The sequence below is a fragment of the Homo sapiens genome, chromosome 7 (assembly GCF_000001405.40).
Source record: "Homo sapiens chromosome 7, GRCh38.p14 Primary Assembly".
NCBI classification, from domain to species: Eukaryota; Metazoa; Chordata; class Mammalia; order Primates; family Hominidae; genus Homo; species Homo sapiens.
The window spans coordinates 118,251,509-118,271,302 of NC_000007.14; the positions used below are offsets into that span (position 1 = coordinate 118,251,509).

The following is a 19,794-nucleotide window of genomic DNA, read 5'->3' on the forward strand; positions in this document are numbered from 1 at the left end:
ACATGACCAATTTATGCATCTAGACTACATGTGAATGTGTGTTGACTGATTTGCTACTTTTGCATTTTTTCATATTCAGGGTTTTCATAATTCACGGACATAGTGAGTGAAGCTATGCTGCTTTTACTAGGAACTATTTCCTTTGGGATTTTGCTGGTGTATTCAACTAGAGGGAACTTCAAGTGGAATCTAGGACACCTGATTGCCTTGAACAATTAAGGCAATTGAAGGTGCTGGAGAGTAAGGTTAATCAATGCATGCTTTAGAAGTCTGTATTCACAAAGGGAAGTCAAGTGTTCCATTCAACAAATACTGAGTTTCTGTTACATGTCAGGCATGTATTATGCATGGCAGTACTAAGATAAACAATATCTTATGGTCTATAAGATTTTTTTAGCTAACTGGAGAGATAACACATTGAAAATCTCTTACCTTACCTTCTTCTTTGAGAAATTATGCTTTAGCTTTTATGGTTCCCCATGCCCTGTGTGATAGGCAGAATTGTAAAATGACCACCTGTGACCTATGCCATTATGTATTCTTCTTTGGAGTGTGTTTGGAAATTGTGAATATGATGAAGTGTCACTCCTGTAATTATGTTACTTAAATGGCAAAAGGGAGATAAACCTGTTTTGGCCTGATCTAATCACATGGGCCCTTTAAATCTAGGTCCAGAGTTCAGACACAAAAGTCAGAGATCCAAGTATAAGAAAGATCTGAGGTGAGGGAAACTCTCTTGCTGGCTTTGAGTATGAAGGGGGCCATGTGGCGAGATCTGAGAGTAGTTTCTAGGAACTGAGAGCATCCCATGAGCAATAGCTAGCAAGAAAATGGGGACCTCAAACCTGCAGATACAAATTATTGAATTTTTTTCTGCACCTATATGAGCTTGGAAGAGAACTCTGAGCAATAGCTGAGAAAGCAGCTTGTGGACACCTTGATTTGAGACCCTGAGCAGACAGTCCACCACCCTGTGCCAGGACTCTGACATATAAAACTTTGAGTTTATCAATGTTTTATAGCTTTTAGTAAGCCTTTCACCTCCCTAGCTAAGTTTGTTCTTTTTGGTGTTATAAAAGGAATTGTTTTCCTAATTTATTTTTCAGGTAGCTGGTTGTTGGTAAACAGAAGTGTAGTTGCTTTTCGTATATTGATTTCACATCCTGCACCTTCACTGAATTTATTAATTCAAAGTTTCTTTGCAGTCTTTAGAGTTTTCTATTTAGAAGATTATGTCATCTGCAAACAAATAATTTTACTTTCTCCTTTCTGATTTGGATGACTTTTCTTTCTTTCTTATTGTATAATTCCTCTGTCAAGGACTTCAGTACTTGATTGAATAGAAGTGCTGAAAATGGGAATCCTTTCCTTGATCCTGATCTTACAGGAATAGCTTTCAGTTTTTCACCAGTGGGAATGATGTAAGCTATAGGCTTTTCAAATATGGCCTTTATTATATTTAGGTAATTTCCTTATATTTCTAGTTTGTTGAGAGTTTTCATCATGAAATGGTGTTGAATTTTGTCAAAAGCCTTTTTCTGTACCTATTATGAGGGTCATGGGAGTTTTACTCTTAGTTCTGTTAATGGGCATGGTTATACTGACTGATTTTTGGATATGGAACCACCCTTGCATCCTAGAAATAAATCCCACTTGATATGATATATGATCTTTTAATGTGCTGCTGAATTAAATTTACTAGTATTTTGTGGAGAATTTTTGCCTCTATGTTAATCAGACATGTTGACCTGTAGTTTTCTTTTCTTGTGTTGTTTGTCTTTGATATCAGGGAATGCTGGCTTAATGAGTTTGCAAGTGCTCCTTTGTCTTCACTTTGGGGAAGAATTTGAGAAAGGCTGACACTAACTCTTGTTTAAATGTTTAGTAGAATTCACTAGTGAAGCCATCTGGCTCTGGGCTTTTCTTTGTTGAGACGCTTTTTGATTACTGATCCAATCTCCACATTAAAATAGGTCTGCCTTTATCCTTGAAATAACCTGCTCAATTGTCAACAAGAAGTGTATCTGGAGACAGTTTGCATTCCTTTTTGTTTGTTTAATGTTGATTATGTCCCTGATAATTCAGGCATAAATAAAAAATAAGGTAAAAATTATATGTATAAAAATCTATGTAGTCGATGTAACTAAAATATTTGAGGAATTAATGCTGGATTTTGAGAAGAATGTATACATAATGGAGATTCTGGAGAAAATGCAACTGAGCCATCCACATCAAGTGTAATTTTTCTTCTTATTAGAAGCACATGAGATTAATAGACTACAGTGATTATCTATTATTTACAAGTATGATACTGTAAGAATTCTTTCCTGCTTTCTGGAGATTGACCATTCAGAGACAATAAGGAAGGGGAACATGTGTTTTATGAATCATCCTTGTGTATTTTCTTTTTTTTTTTTTTTTTTTTTTTTTGAGACGGAGTCTCGCTCTGTCGCCCAGGCTGGAGTGCAGTGGCGGGATCTCGGCTCACTGCAAGCTCCGCCTCCCGGGTTCACGCCATTCTCCTGCCTCAGCCTCCCAAGTAGCTGGGACTACAGGCGCCCGCCACTACGCCCGGCTAATTTTTTGTATTTTTAGTAGAGACGGGGTTTCACCGTTTTAGCCAGGATGGTCTCGATCTCCTGACCTCGTGATCCGCCCGCCTCGGCCTCCCAAAGTGCTGGGATTACAGGCATCCTTGTGTATTTTCATGTTTCTTAAAAGTTAGTAAGAAGCTTCTCCTTTCTATTTAAGTAAGATAAATTTAAGATGTGATAGAATGTCACGATGGATTTCTGATTTCTGCTTCAGGTTTAGATATCTGTACCCTACCCTTCTTTTAGTCACATACGCACACACTTGGTAGAAGGATCATCCAACTTTATTCAAAAGACTTGGCTGTACACTGAAAGCCTTCATAGTCAAGTGAACCACACCTACTCTGGGACTCAAAACTATTGGGATTGTTGAAGAATCCAAATGCCAGCAGAAGCCCTGAAGCCTTATGGGAAATGTTGGTCTTCTGATGCCCTGAATAGAATATTTCTATTATTATAATTTTTATAAATATTTATAAATATATAAAAATTATATATTTATACATATATAATATTATATATGTATAAATATATAATATATATGTATAAATATATAAAATTATATATTTATAAATATATAAAATATATGTATAAATATATAAATAATATATTTATAAATATATATTTATAATTTATAATTTATATATAATTTATAAACTATATATAAATTACATATATATTTTAATATATGTATAAATTATAAATTTATAAATTATAAATATAAATATATAAATATGTAATTTATAAATACATAATTATAAGTATTATAATATTTCTATTATTATAGTTAAAGAATCAAAGTATTATCTTAAGGAAGACAAAGTATAAGAATAGGAACTTGGAAGGTGGGAGTTAAGCGGGCCACTGGAATTTTATCAGTTAATTGCTCCCATATATAATGGGATATCAAGAATTCCTGAGAAAAAAACAACAGTTTGGGTAATACACCAGAAAAGGAAAATAGTAACACTTTCCTTTGGCCTCTCTCTTAATAGTGATTCTATCTATACATTAAAGAGCCTGAATTGTTATGGTAATAGAAGGCATAGAATTATAAGGAAATTGCAGCTGGTATATAGTATAGATACACATTCACTTTTCAAATTTTGTGAACGTTTCCTCCTTTGAGTCAGGCGTAGAAGCTCCCTAAGTGCTGATAGATAGAATAAGATAAAAAAATACGTTGTGATATTCAGTTAACTGAATCTGTCTCAGTCTTGTTTACATTGTTCCCAAATCTCAGACGCTGCAAGTGAAAGAGCCTTTTAATAGTAATACTGTCAATGATTACATATAAAAACATACCAAACCTCACAGAATTGACCAATCTATATTAAATACCTGTGAGAAGACCCAGACTTGAAAATTTGAGTTTTTGTCTACATGTAATATGTCTAACTGTAGTAGAATGCAGTATGTTTCAGAAATATCTTGCCATGTCCTTGATGTGAAGTTTGGTATGATCACTTGCTGTGACCAGGATCTTGGAGTGTAGATGACACAGAGCAGAGCTTCAGTCAACCTGCGGTGGACATCTAGCATGGACATAAATAAATCTTTGTTGTTTTAAGCCACTGAAGTTTCTTTAGCCATAGCAAAATACAATCTATCTTGACTTATACACTATCCTGAGCTTTGTATGTGTGATATCAAAAGTATGGATCAGAAGAATAAATGTATTTGTTCTTCCTTAATTTTAGAGGTATAGTCAGTGAGAAAATAAAGCTTAATTCCACCAAAGGAATCCGTTTCTATCACTTTAAAGCAACTTGTTTGACATTTAAAGAAATATCTTAAAAAACAGGCAGGAAGCACAGTGATTCTTTATGTTGTCACACAGAGAAATATTAAAAATAATGGCATATTTTCTTTACAGGAGTAAAACGAATTCATCACCTTTGTGAACATGATATTTATGTACATTTTATGTGGTAAATTATTTACTTCAAATGGATTTGTGTATCAGAAATGACAGGAATGTCAAAACTATTTATGAATGGTTATAATTAAGAATACTTGACTTTTGTGAAAATTTAGAGATCAAAAATATTTTTTCAACTTGGTTTATATGTGTAGCAGAAGGCAGCCTAAAAAAAAAGAAAGTTAACTTAGAGAGTAACCAAGGAAGAAATTACAACAGAGTTCTTTTTAGAAACTATGCAATCCAGAAGACAATAGAGGGCATCATCTTAATAATACAGCTTGAAAGAAAAAAAGTAAACCCTAGAATTATATACCCAGTGAAAATATCCCTAAAAAAGGAAGGTGAAAGTCTTTTTTTACACAGCAAAAAGCAGAAATAACTCCTTTCCAGCAGACATGAAATGTTAAAAGAAGTTCTTTAGACAGGAGTATAACAAGAGATAGAAAGTTAGATATGAACAAAGAAAGGATTGTAGAGGCCAGGTGCGGTGGCTCATGTCTGTAATCCCAGCACTTTGGGAGGCGGAGGTGGGCGAATCACCTGAGGTCGGGAGTTCCAGACCAGCCTGACCAACATGGAGAAACTCCGTCTCTACTATAAATACAAAATTAGCCGGGCGATGTGGTCCATGCCTGTAATCCCAGCTACTTGGGAGGCTGAGGCAGGAGAATCACTTGAACCTGGAAGGTGGAAGGTGGAGGTTGCGGTGAGCCAAGATCGTGCCATTGCACTCCGGCCTGGGCAACAAGAGTGAAACTCTGTCTCAAAAAAAAAAAAAAAATTAAAACAAATAAATAAATAGAAAGGATTGTAGAAATGGGAAATGTGAGAGTAAATAAGAAGTTTACCTTTTAAAAGTTTATAACATATGTAAATATAGAGATGTAACATGCATAAAAATAAAGGACAATGCAGGAAAGAAAATATGTGGAAGTATATTGTTTGAAGATTCTTATGCTACATGTGAAGAAACATATAAACTAAATAGACTTCTACATACTAAAGAAATGTAGATAAATATTTTTCACAAAGAGAACTCGAGATTCAGATGGCTTCACGTAGTCAACATGGTCATATAATTTCTAGACAGCATAATAAAGGCATGAAAAGAAAATAAAAGGCATAAAGATTGTGAAGAAAAAAATAAAATTGTTCTGATTTGTAGATGACATAATTGTCTACATATGAAATCTGAAGGAACCTAAACCAACAAACAAAAGCCAGCTACTAGAATTAATAAGTGAGTTCGTCAAAGTCGCAAGATACAAACTAAACATACAAAATTAATTGTATTTCTGTATACTAGCAATGAACCTGTGGGCATAAAAATTAAAAATACTTTTTCATAAAGAAAACACTTCTATGAAATAGTTGTAAATGAAAACATGTACAGGACTTATATGCTGAAAACTACAAAATGCTGATGAGAGGAACACAGCATCTCAATAAATGGAGAGACATAATGTGTTTGTAGATTGGAAGACTCAGCATGGTGAAGATGACAATTCTTTTCAAGTAGATATGTAGGTTTAATGCAATCTCATCAATATCCCAGCAAGATATTTTGTAGATATAGACAAGATTATTCTAAAATTTATATGGAAAGGCAAAAGAACTAGAATAGCTAAAACAATTTTGAAAAAAGAATAAAGTGGAAGGAATCATTCTACCTGATTCAAAGACATTATATGGCTCTAGTAAGCAAGTCTGTGTAGTAGTATTCGTGGAGGGATAGATACATAAATTAATGAAACAGAAGAGAGAACCCAGAAATAGACCTATGCAAATATGCTTGAATTTTGACGAAGACAGAAAAGCAATTCAATAGAGGACAGATTACAAACAGAGAGCTGGAGCTATCATACATCCATAGGCCAAAAAATGAACTTTGAGCTAAGTCTCACTTTGTATGCAAATAAACTAGAAATGGATCATGGAATTAAATATAAAGCATAAAAATGTAAAACTTTTAGAAAAAAAAATCATAGAGAAAATCTTTAGGTTTGGGCTAAGCCAGAGGTCTTAGACCTGACACCAGAGGCCTGGTCCATTAAAGGAAAATTCAGTGAATTAGACTGCATTAAATTTGGAAATTTTTGCTATGTGAAAGACGTCGTTATAGGGAATAAAAATTCAAGCCACAATCTATTATAGGAGAAAATATTTGCAAATTACATATCTGATAAAAGACTAGTATGTAAATTATATTGAGGACACTCAAAACTTAAAGAACAATCAATTAGTAAAAGGACAAAATCAATGAAAAGACACATCACCAAGGAGGATATATATATGGCAAATAAGCAGATGAAAAGATGTTCAACATCATTAGCCATTAGGGAAATGGAAATTAAAACTGTACACCAATGTTCATAGCAGCTTTATTTGTAATATCCACAATCTAGAAACAACCTAAATGTCCTTAAAGGGGAGGAGCAGTATTGTATGATATGGATGTGCCACAGTTTAACTGTGATCCTTTCCTAAGTTTGTTTAACTGTGGTACATCCATATCATACAATACTACTACACCCCTTTATGGACATCTAGGTTGTCAGATGACCTAGATGGATGTGGTACATCCATATCATACAATACTACTTAGCAATAAAGCAGAACAAACTGTTGGTACATACCATGACCTGTGTAAATTTCCAGAGACTTACACTTAATGAAAAAAGCAAGACCCAAAGGTTCTTATATTGTATGATTCCATCTATAGAACATTCTTGAAATGACAAAATTATAGAAATGGAGAACAGATTAGTGGTTGCAAAGGGTTAAGGAAGTAGTGCAGGGCAGGAAGGATGTAGGGATGGCTACAAAAAGGCAACATATGGGATCCTTGTGATTACAAAAATGTTCTATATCTTGACTATGTCAATGATGATATTTTAGTCATTTTGCATGGGTGAAACCAGGGTAAAGAGTAAATGGGATTTCTCTGTATTTTTTTATAACTGAATGCAAATTAACAATAATTTAATGTAAAAAATTTTAATTAAAAATTATATACATATGAAAAAAGTTACTAGGCTAAAACCTGCTCCTCTGAAGATATGGGTACTTAAGGATAGTTTATTTCTTCCAACCTAAGATAAATTTAGGGGCACTTTACTTTATATGCGTATGGCCTTGAAAATTAACTATTCTATATGGTTGGAGAGCCCAGACTTTTTATGGGTACAATATTCATATTTTTCCAGAGACATGTAAGTTAGCAAAAATAGAACTCAAAAAAAGTTGTGTTTATTTTTCCAAACAATAGGTGGCATCTGAGTTTCACAAACTGATAATTCATGCTCATATCAGGAAATACAGTTGTATTTTTCAAATTAATTTAAAATTTAGTTTACATAGTACTCATCATGGTTTATATTTATAAGTATTGATTAATTAAAAGAATACACAATTTTTTCTAAAATTAACACTGGGAATTTTGCTAGTTTTGAGGGAAAATATGAAAATATGCCATAGATTTCATAACGTAATGTTACATCTTTTTGAATATGTTATAATTTATACATTGTATAAGAATACACTTTTACTCTCGAATCTGTACTGGAAGTTTTAACTAAAATTTAGTGAATTCTAATGCATGTAAAATGTTAATTTTTCTAATTTTCTTTCACATTATTCAGCTGTGTAGAAAAATCTAATATAAGTATTCAGTATATGAATGATACATAACTTCATTTTCTAATAAAACTTACATTATTTGGAAATACCAACCTTCTTGACTCTGTCAACTTTGACTACTGTTTTAAACCTCAGGCACCAAATGTTTTCTTGTTTCCCTCCCTTTCACAGTTTGGAGCTTATTCTTGGGGACTATTCTAAGCCTGAGGAACCAACAACCCAAGGTGAGACTAATCATTTCCTATTGTTTTCGGGTATTGAATACCTCTATATCAGTTTTAAAAAAAGAAAAGTCTGGAGCCTTTTGTGTTATTTTTCCTAGCTGTAAGACTATAAACTCTCGTACATATTCAAAGCTGTTGAGTTTATTCTTTCCTAAGAACCGCTAGGTTATACTGGCTCTGAATATCTTTGTATTTTGTTCTCATCCTTTTATGGGGCCTGCCAGCACACAACCCTATGGCGAAAGCCACCTGCCTGCTTTGCCGTAACTACCTGGGTCTGGCTCTCAGGCTTCATCTCCCTAGCTCAATAGGATAAAAGCCCGAACTCTGCACAAATGAGTGGTGGAAACAATGCCAGGTTTTCTCTTTAAAAAATGGATTTGGATTCATCCCCTGCCATTTTTGAACTCTAAAGCTATGGTTAAGTTTTCAAACCTATCTGAGGCTCATTTTTATCGACGACATAATCTGTTGTGAGAATTAATTTAGGTTAAATATTACATTTGTAATCCATTCTGTAATGGGGCCTTATTTATTTTTTGTTGTTCATTAGAAAATAAAAATTTAAAAATGAAATCAATATATAAATTCAAGCTATTGTCAAAAGAGTAATAAATATAAATTTTGAGTAATACCTAGCTGGCATAGCTGGCAGTTGTATGTAAGCTACAGGAAATTTTTAAAAACAGAAAAAAACATTTTTTTTTTACTTCAAAAGTTAGTGTTCAGAGTAGACAGAGTAGAAATGCCCTTCCTTCCTTCCTTCCTCCCTTTTCCTCCCCTCCCTCCCTCCCTCCTTCTCTCCCTCCCTTCCTCCCTTCCTTCCTTGTTTCCTTCCTTTCTCTTTCTTTCTCTTTCTTTTTCTTTCTTTCTTTCTTTCTTTCTTTCTTTCTTTCTTTCTTTCTTTCTTTTCTTTCTCTCTCTCTCTCTCTCTCTCTTTCTTTCTTTCTTTCTCTCTCTCTCTCTCTCTCTGTTTCTTTCTTTCTCAGAGTCTCACTCTGTTGCGTAGGTTGGAGTGCAGTGGCACAATCTTGGCTCACTGCAACCTCCACCTCACGGGTTCAAGCGATTCTCCTGCCTCAGCCTCCTGAATAGATGGGATTACAGGCATGTGCCACCACTCCTGGCTAATTTTTGTATTTTTAGTAGAGACGGCGTTTCGCCATGTTTATCAGGCTGGTCTCAAACTCCTGACCTCAGGTGATCTGCCTGTCTTGGCCTCCCCAAAGTGCTGAGATTACAGACGTGAGCCACCGTGCCTGGCCGAAATGTTCTTTATGTAAAGGTATTACCTGTTTGATCAAAATATTACTATAAAATCTTCAAGGTGGGAGTTTGGAAAAACAGAAGCAGTCACAAAGAGGGTTTATTTTCACTAGACAGAAAGTAAAGACAGACTTCAGGAGAGATGAACAATGTTGGAAGGGCTTTGGTACTCTGGGAAGTGTGTGTGTTTGTGTATTGTGTTGTTGCTATTAATACTAAGTCCCTACCTGAGCCATACGGATAAACAATAGAGGAGATGTGGTTCCACAAAAGAAAACAGAGGGACTGCTCCACATTTGTATAATGAGGATAGTATCTCTTAAATCATAGTACTGAGGTGAGGATTAAATGGAATAAAGTATATATTGCCTGATGGATGCAATGAGTGGCCCAAAATAAGTGCTCAACAAATGGTGGTACTAGGAGTAATAATAATTTTTATTTTTGTTTGTAAATAGGATGATTTTTATTGTTGTTAAAGTAGTAATTTTCTAAAACAGTTTTAGGGTCATATTTGTTATCTTAATTATTTTATCAGCCTACAAATGAAGGATAATTATTTGAATATAATCTTTGCAGAGCCATTATGTAAAGGTGGCACTTCCTCCAATTATATCCTTAATTTGTTTATTATCTCCATGCCTAATCAAGGTCCTCTGAATTACCACAATAAAATTTTCTGTATCTTAAAAAAAAAAATACTGAGTCAAGAATTTGAATGCATGGTTGAAAACCTAAACTAAGACATCATCTTACAGCAATGTACTATCATATCATAGTCATATACTACCAAATATTTAATAACTTTATGAGAGTATATCTTCTCTCTGTAAGGACAGCTTTTTGAATGGTAATGCTTTATATTTTTGTGTCCCTAAGAGTATCTAGCACTATTAATCAGATTAATATGTAATCTGACTACATAGTAGATGCTCAATGAGTATCTTGAGCTGGAAAGTTAGGCTTTCCAGCTCTAAAAATAAATTCTTAAAGTCTACATCTAGATTACCAAATTTTTTTTTGTTTGTTTTTAAGACAGAGTCTCGCTCTGTCACCCAGGCTGGAGTGCACTGGCGCAATCTCAGCTTACTGCAAGCTCTGCCTCCTGGGTTCACGCCATTCTCCTGCCTCAGCCTCCCGAGTAGCTGAGACTACAGGTGCCTGCCACCACGCTTGGCTGATTTTTTGTATGTTTAGTAGAGATGCAGTTTCACCGTGTTAACCAGGATGATCTCGATCTCCTGACCTTATGATCCGCCTGCCTCAGCCTCCCAAAGTTCTGGGATTACAGGTGTGAGCCACCATGCCCAGCCACAAAATGGTTTTTATTAATTCTGAAGTACACATCAATGCATATATTTTATTTTAGCTTTTCCTTTTAGTCTCTTCAAGGATTTACTGTAGCCAAATCCATTTAATAAAGAGTTATTTATTTTACATAAATTCAGTGCATTGTAATAGAGAGTAGGGAGGACACCAGCTGTATTTCCACTTGATGACTGGTATCTTTTAAATATATTTGTGTATGCCAAGTCTAGGTAGTGAGGAAAATGTTTTGCCTAAGATTTGCATCTAATTAACACATAAGGGAAAAATTCCTATATCAATGGAAGTAACATAATCACTTATTCAAACAGTCTTTCAGAATTTACTATGAATTTGACTTATGTAGGGAATACGGGTAAATGTTAGGTGCCTTAATCATGCCTCAACTTTTTTTCCTTTTACCTCTAAGTTTATACTGTCTGTGAATTATCGAAGCATTTACAAGTGATTTAATAATGTATCCAGATATTTTTTATATAAGCAAGCTATACTAAATTATTTTAAATTTGAATTCCATACCAAAGGTGTTTGGCAACTCTTCTGGTGCACTAAGATTTTAACTAAACTCTTCGCTGGGGAGAACATGGTTGGAAATTACGTAGTACATAAGTTCCTTGTACTGTGGTATTTTTCTTAGTTGATTTACTTTTGCAATCATTATATTTATTATTAACTAGCCAAATCAAATTAAACCTGCTGTATTTAGAGGAAACATGGCCTTTGTGTTCTGTGCTGAAACATTTTATCCAAAAACTGACCATCAGCAAATTTCATCAATATTGAGTTCCATTGTCCAGTGTGAAGCAGAACCTTCCCCCACTGCACATACACTCATGGGTAGAGGACTCAAAGAGGAGGGCAATAACATGGTCTGTTGCTTTTTATTTATGAAAACATGGTTCTCATTTTGTCTGCTCTGGATAGGAATAAAGTAGCACATTGCGAACACTTTTACTGTTCACTTATCTGTAGAAAATGGTTTCCATGAACAAATTTAAATAAGGGAGAAATATGCTTAGATTTTTTTTTGTGTGTGTAGAACAAATGCTGCCATCGTATAATATTTCTTTTTGCTTGGCAACACTGCTGAGATCAGCAGAACTTGTCGGCGCTGTAAACTGTCTAATAAATTTCCTGTCCTACTATATATTAAAAATAACGCAGTGATCTGACAGACATATCATCAGTAGAAATGACTGTTCATGCAAAATGATCTAGTGCTGAGATTAGTTTAATTTTATTGGTGTTAGTGAATGTTTTATATTGTAGAAAGTCATAAGAGATCTTGTTATTCATGTCCCCTATTAATCTTGATAATATGGAAGTTAATCTTTTAATTACTGAATTGTAGCTACTGTAATATATTTGGTGGTGGCTGGCGGTAAGTTGCCTCCCTGACTGGTCCTCTTCTGATAGGTGCTTTTTGTGGAGAATTTCATCTACTATTGCAGCTTGAAGAAACTAAGTTATTACATGAATAGAGTGGTAAAACACATGTAAATATGTGTAACATATAGAGTATTCATTATAACAATCAAAGTCCCAGAAAGAAACTATCAAACTTAGATAACACGAGACATAAAGGAAGATAGAATTTAGAGACTTATGTCAGGATTAAGGAAACCAGCAAGGAAGTTGGATAATTTAGAGACTAGCAATATTGAGATGCCATTAGTAGTCCAATGACAGCTGGAGTCCTTGGACAACGGGTGCAGGACAGGAACCGCTGTAACAGAGGGATAAAAGCACTGTCAGAAAACACATCTTAGATAGAGAGTGAGGAATACACAGACATCGTTCTCTCCTTACCCTCTGATCACTGCCACCTCCCACTGGCTGAGTACAAATGGGAGCCAGTTGGCAAGATGGAGTCTGTAGGGTTCAGACTCTTGAAGAATAGAGAAAGGGTACAGAGAAAGGCTGAAAATGTATCTGGGGCATGGTAGGTGGACAATATGTGAATAACCAGCAAACTCTAGCAACAATAAGCTTATTAAGATAGCCTGTGTGATGGTTATTTCTACTACGAATTTTTCTACTTTAGGCACCAGTTCGAGCCTTACTTGTAAGGCATGGACATTTAACAATACTTGGAGAGGTTTTTTAAATCAGAACTTACCGTGATGTGGCTCGGTGGCTTCTGGTGTGAAGATTTATAGTGGGGGCTAGATGCCTCTAGTAAGTGGGCTTGGGTGGTGCCTCAAACTCAAATATCCATTTGCATCTCCTCATGTACATAGAGGTCAGGAAGCCCAGGAAAAAAGTCTTTGATCTCTGTTCACCAACAGAGTTCAATATAATGGTTAAAGAGACGGCTCCAACAAATGGTAGTCTGCAAAAATAAAGGGAAAATGGTCTGTCAATCCAGCAATGGAGCCTGGGTTAGCAGAGAAGTGTAGGTTACAACTATATGACTGATTCTCAGCAGTTCTACTACTTCTCACCTTATTGCCTGGGAAATTTTTGCTGGAACAGTGTTGTGGTGCTGGTGGTGGTGATGGAACCAGAGGAAGCAGTCTGCCACACAGATGACTTTCTGTCTTCCTTACAAGGAAGGCACACTAACATCTTCTGTGTACATGACTCAACCCCCTGTTGTGTCAGCCTGGGAAGCCTAAAAATTAAAGTGAAGCTGGAAAGGTTTATTGCTGTCTCTGTCACCACAGTTTTAATGTGTAGGTTGTTATGTATATTACCACTCTTATCAATTGTTTTATTGTTGATATTTTATGCATTAAATAGGCTTTGTGATTTGACTGATTTTCTGCCTCCAGAACAGAGTTTCTCAATTGCAACATTATTGGCACTTCAGGATGGATAATTCTTTGTTTTGGGAAACTGTCCTGTGCATTGTAGGATGTCTAGCAGCATTCTTATTCTCTACCCACTGTATGCCTGTAAGCATCCCTTTCTCCCGGTCGTGACAACCAAAAATGTCTCTAGATTGTGCCAAATGTTTGCTTGGGGCACAACGTCACCTCTGGTTGAGAACTACCTTTCTGGAAGAACTTGATGTGATAACTCTTAGTAAAATTTCTTTTTTCATATATTCTTAATATGTACAACACATATTAAAAGTTTCATATTCTGAATTTTCTTTTTCTTGTTTCTGTGAGGAGCCATTCAGCATTGTAAAAATGCATTGGTGATGTTTTGTGTTATAGCAATTTCTCTTAGCTCTACAGATACAAATGTTGGGGGAGGCTCTCTTAAGAGGGCAACCTTCACATTAAGCAAAAATGCTACAAATGTAGCTTATTTGTAGATATATTCTATTTGAATATGTTCATCTATAAATGTTCTATTACATATGAGAATAGAAATTCAAATGAATTAGAGGAGCTTAGCTTAAAGAATAAGGCTGGAGAAATGGAAAAATTGCATTAGTTTTTCAGCACACATACACCCAAAATATAACATTGTAGTAAAATTCAAAATGTCAGCATTTTGAAGTAGTTTGTTTTAGATACAGGGAAAACAGATTTCCTCAAAACGTAATATTTTAAAAGATGTGTCCAAACAGAATTTTCCTGTGTTCAAAGATAATAAACTTTATATCCAACACATTTAATTTGCTAATAAAAACTATTCATTCTTAAGAAATTTCTAAAAGGCATACAATAAACGAGTACTTCGTTATTTCCCAAAAGGCTTAATTCCAAAAACAAGCAAACTCAAATTTAAACCTGTTTTACAACTGTGTTAAGTATATCAATTACATTACTTTTTGCTATAAAACCTCTTCTGATAGAAAGCAGCAAAAATTACGTCTGTGTTCTGCATGCCAAATCTTCACAGTGTTTCCCAGCTGCATTGGTGTTCCAAGCCAGGCTCTTTCTCTTTAGAGTCAGTGTAATGAGCTATAATTGATGGTAGCCATGATGATGGTGAAGCCTGAAGTGAGTATTTCTCATGTAAGCTCATTCAAAGGAGTTTTGAGCAATCATTTCTGTGTCAGAGTCAAGTTTTTGTGGTGAATGAAAAAAACTATACATACATATATATGTATGTATATATACACATACATATATACATACATATACATATGTATATATATACATACATATACATATGTATATATATACATACATATACACATATATATACATACATATACATATGTATATATATACATACATATATACATATATACAGATATGGTATATGTATGGTATATGTATGTATGGTATATACATATATACACATATATACATATGTATGTATATACATACATATACATATGTATATATATACATACATATACATATGTATATATATACATACATATATATGTATATATATACACACACACACACACACATATATATATATATGTAAACATTCATTTTGGACCTGATAACATTTTTTTTTTCCTTTTACCAGCCAATAAATCTTAGAGTTTTTTTCTTGTTGTGGAGATTTATAGGTGGATTCATTTTCCAGAGCTTAAGCTTCCTCCATTCTATCAATGATATTTTCCTCAAAGTGCCTTTGATAGCTTAAATAGCCTTGAGAAGAAAGTTTATAAATTAAGTATAAGATTAATAAGTATATTTACTTCGTTCTTTTGGGGCTGATGCAATTTCACTGCAGATTTTTAAAGCAGTGTGCAGCATTTCATATCATTAGGAAGTGGAATGGGTATATAACATTAAATTCAATAATGTCCTGGTAAGTAGTGCTTATATTCGAATACTTAAAGCATGCATATTGTTAACTAGAGTTTCATATTTATTTTAAGGTAATATTTGTATACAATGAAATGCCCATATCTTAAGAAAAATAAATGTAGAGACCCTATATAAAAATGTAAGAAATTCACTTAGGACTCACTGACATGTCCAAACATGAAATCCTAGAGTTGAAAGAGATTATTAGAAGTCCACAAGGTCAAATATTGTAACTCACAACAAAAATCTTTCCCATGGGCATGGTGTTCCCTGGAATGGCATTTTATAAGAAACACTGAGGAATGATGAGGAATCTGTAGTTATCAAAGGGCTAGTATTCTCTCCTAGGTAAATATCTTTACAACTCTGTTGCTCAAGTGTTAGTATCTTCATTTTATAGAATAGAAAACCACAGCTGAGGAAGGCAAAGTAACTTGCATATAAAATTACAGATGGAAGGTAGTTGAGTTGGCACTGAAACCTAAGTTCTTCTAAATTTATGACCAAATCCCCATCACCTTTAAAATGTCATACTGAAACATTTTAAAATCACGTAAAAATCACATTTTCTGTAAGTGCCTTTTTTATCTCATTATTTTTGAAAAAAATTTTCAAACATTAAGAAAATTTGAATGAATTTATATTTACCCTCTACCTAGGCTTTTCTATTCTATATATTGCATTATCACATACTTACCCATCTATACAGCCCTATATCCACCCATCAGTCCTTTCTATTAATGCATTTCAAAGTAAGTTACAAACATCAGTATTTCCTCTCAACTAATTTCTCTCAAATATTTAAGAGCACATATTAACTAGACTTTTATATTTACGTTTATATATTTTAAGGTGAGATTTATATAAAACGAAATGTCCAAATCTTAAGTATACTATGAGATGAGTACGCACAAATACATGTAACTGTGTAACTCAAAACCCTATCAAGATACAGAACTTTGCTCAGAAGGATTCCTTCATTTGCTTTCCCATTCAATCCCCCTTCTCCACCAATTTTTTTTTTTTTTTTCTGGCTGGAGTAGTTTTGCCTTTTCTAGGATTTTACATAAATTGAATTGTGGTATTTACTGTTTTGGGTAAAGCTACTTTCACTCCACATACTGCTTTGAGATTCATCAATGTTGTATGTGTTAATACTTATTTTCTTTGTCTTGTTGAATAGTATTGCACTATAGAATTTACCACATTTTATCTGTTCTCCGATTAAGATCTGAGAAGTTTCTAGTTTTCAGGTATAATGAATAAACTGCTATGATCGTATCTGTTCAAGGCTGTTTTGATTTTTAAATAAGAAACTGTGTGTTTTTACCTTTTTATATTCCTACCAACCATGTATGAAAATTTCAGTTGCTCCACATCCTCACCATCAGTTAGTATTGTCTATATTTTTAATTTTAGCCGTTCTTGTGTTTTTTTTCGTGTAGAGGTTTGTTCTTGTAGAGGCTTCCAATAGTGGTTCTACTTGTATTTCCCTGATGACTAATGGTAGTGATCACTTTTTCATCCACTCATTGGCCATTTATATGTTTTCTTTTGTGAGCTATTTATATATTTTATGTTTTTATGTATTTACTTTCATTATTGTGCTATGAGAATTCTTTATATATCCTATATATTAGCCCTTTGTCATATTTTCATTTTGCAAATAAATTCTTCTAATCTGGAGTTTAACTATGTATTTATTTATTTACTTTGCTTCAACTTTTATTTTAATTTCCAGGGTACAGGCGCAGGATATGCAGGTTTGTTACCTAGGTAAACGTGTGCCATGGTGGTTTGCTGCACAGATCAACCCATCACCTAGATATTAAGCCCAGCCTCCATTAGATATTCTTCCTGATGTTCTCCCTTTCCCTGCAGCCCCCAACAGGCCCCAGTGTGTGTTGTTTCCTACCATGTGTCCATGTATTCTCATTGTTCAGCTCCCACTTATAAGTGAGAACATTTAGTGTTTGGTTTTCCATTCCTGTGCTAGTTTGCTGAGGATAATGGCCTCCGGCTCCACCCATGTCCCTGCAAAGGACATGATCTCATTCCTTTTTATGAATGCATAATATTGATGGTGTATACTTACCACATTTTCTTTATCTGGTCTGTCACTGATGGACATTTGGGTTGATTTCATGTCTTTGCTATTGTGAAGAGTGCTGCAATGAACATACATATACATGTATCTTTATAATAGAATGATTTATGTTCCTTTGGGTATATACCCAGTAATGGGATTGCTGGGTCAAATATATTTCTGCTTCTAGATCTTTGATGAATCGCCACTCCATCTTCCACGATGGTTGAACTAATTTATATTCCCACCAACAGTGCAAAAGTGTACCTTTTTCTATACATCCTTGCCAGCATTTGTTGTTTCTTGATTTTTTACTAATCACCATTCTGACTGGTATGAGATGGTATCTCATTGTGGTTTTGATTTACATTTCTCCGATGATCAGTGATGTTGAGCTGTTTTCCATATGATTATTGGCCGTGTGAATGTCTTCTCTTGAGAAGTGTCTGTTCATGTCCTTTGCCCACTTTTTAATGATTTTTTTTTCTTGTAAATTTATTTAAGTTCCTTGTAGACTCTGGATATTAGACCTTTTTTAGATGGATAGGTTGCAAAAGTTTTCTTCCATTTTGTAAATTGTCTGTTCACTTTGATGATAACTTCTTTTGAGATGCAGAAACTCTTTAGTTTAATTAGATTCCATTTGTCAATTTTAGCTTTTGTTGCCATTGCTTTTGGCGTTTTCGTTGTGAAGTCTTTGTCCATGCCTACGTCCTGAATGGTATTGCCTAGGTTTTCTTCTAGGGTTTTTATAATTTTGGGTTTTACATATAAGTCTTTAATCAATCTTGAGTTAATTTTTGTATCAGGTGTAAGGAAGGGGTCCAGTTTCAACTTTTTGCATATGGCTAGCCAGTTTTCCCAACACCATTTATTAAATAGGAAATCCTTTTCCCATTGCTTGTTTTTGTCAGGTTTGTCAAAGATCAGATGGTTGCAGCTGTGTGCTCTTATTTTTGGGTTCTCTATTCTGTTCCATTGGTCAATGTGTTTTTGTACTGATACCATGCTGCTTTGGTTACTGTAGCCTTGTAGTATAATGTGAAGTCAGGTAGTGTGATGCCTGCAGCTTTGTTCTTTTTGCTTTGGATTCTCTTGGCTATATGAGCTCTTTTTTGGTTCTATATGAATTTTAAAATACTTTTTTTCCAGTTCAGAAGAATGTCAATAGTAGTTTAATGGTAATAGCATTGAATCTATAAATTACTTTGGGCAGTATGGCCATTTTCACGATATTGATTCTTCCTATCCATGAGCATGGAATGCTTTTCCATTTGATTGTGTCTGTCTTCTTTGAATTTTTTCAGCAGTGGTTTCTAGTTCTTCTTGAAGAGGTCTTTCACTTTTTTGTTAGCTCTATTACTAGGTATTTTATTCTCTTTGTAGCAGTTGTGAATGGGAGTTTGTTCATGATTTGCCTCTCTGCTTATCTGTTGCTGGTGTATAGGAATACTAACAAATTTTGCACATTGATCTTGTATCCTAAAACTTTGCTGAAGTTGCTTATCAGCTTAAGTAGCTTTTGGGTGGAGGCATAGTAGCCTTGAATAATCTTTTACATTTCTGTGGTGTCAGTTGTAATATCTCCCGTTTCATTTGTAATTGAGCTTATTTGGATTTTCTCTTCTTTTCTTGGTTAATCTTGCTATTGGTCCATCAATTTTATTTATCTTTTCAAAGAACAAAAAGCTTTTTGTTTCATTTATCTTTTGTATTTTCTTTTTGGTTTCAATTTTATTTAGTTCTGCTCCAATCTTGGTTAGTTCCTTTCTTCTGCTAGGTTTGGGTTTGGTTTGTTCTTGTTTCTCTCGTTCCTTGAGTTATGACGTTAGATTGTCTATATGTGCTTCCTCAGACTTTTTGGTGTAGGTATTTACCGCTATGAACTTTCCTCTTAGCATCGCCTTTGCTGTATTCCAGAGGTTTAGATAGGTTGTTCACTATAGTCGTTCAGTTCAAAGAATTTTTCAATTTCCATCTTGATTTCATTGTTGACCAAATGGTCATTCAGGAGCAGGTTATTTAATTTCCATATATTTGCATGGTTTTGAAGATTCCTTTTGGA

General features: G+C 34.3%; 1 long non-coding RNA gene across 1 annotated transcript in view, besides 1 other annotated feature; it reads left to right on the forward strand.

Moving 5' to 3' along the window:
• Positions 1,567-2,075: an enhancer, noted in NCBI's record as "NANOG hESC enhancer chr7:117893129-117893637 (GRCh37/hg19 assembly coordinates)". NCBI's record gives its function as "activates a minimal SCP1, AML or CMV promoter by ChIP-STARR-seq in primed H9 embryonic stem cells {active_cell/tissue: H9 hESC(primed)}" and the evidence as "EXISTENCE:reporter gene assay evidence [ECO:0000049][PMID:30033119]".
• LOC102724495 (uncharacterized) overlaps positions 8,327-19,794 on the forward strand; it is a 63,056-nt gene continuing 51,588 nt past the window's right edge. Inside the window, exon 1 of the long non-coding RNA XR_428238.2 lies at positions 8,327-8,381. This is a non-coding gene — a long non-coding RNA (uncharacterized LOC102724495). The remainder of the gene's footprint in view (positions 8,382-19,794) is intronic.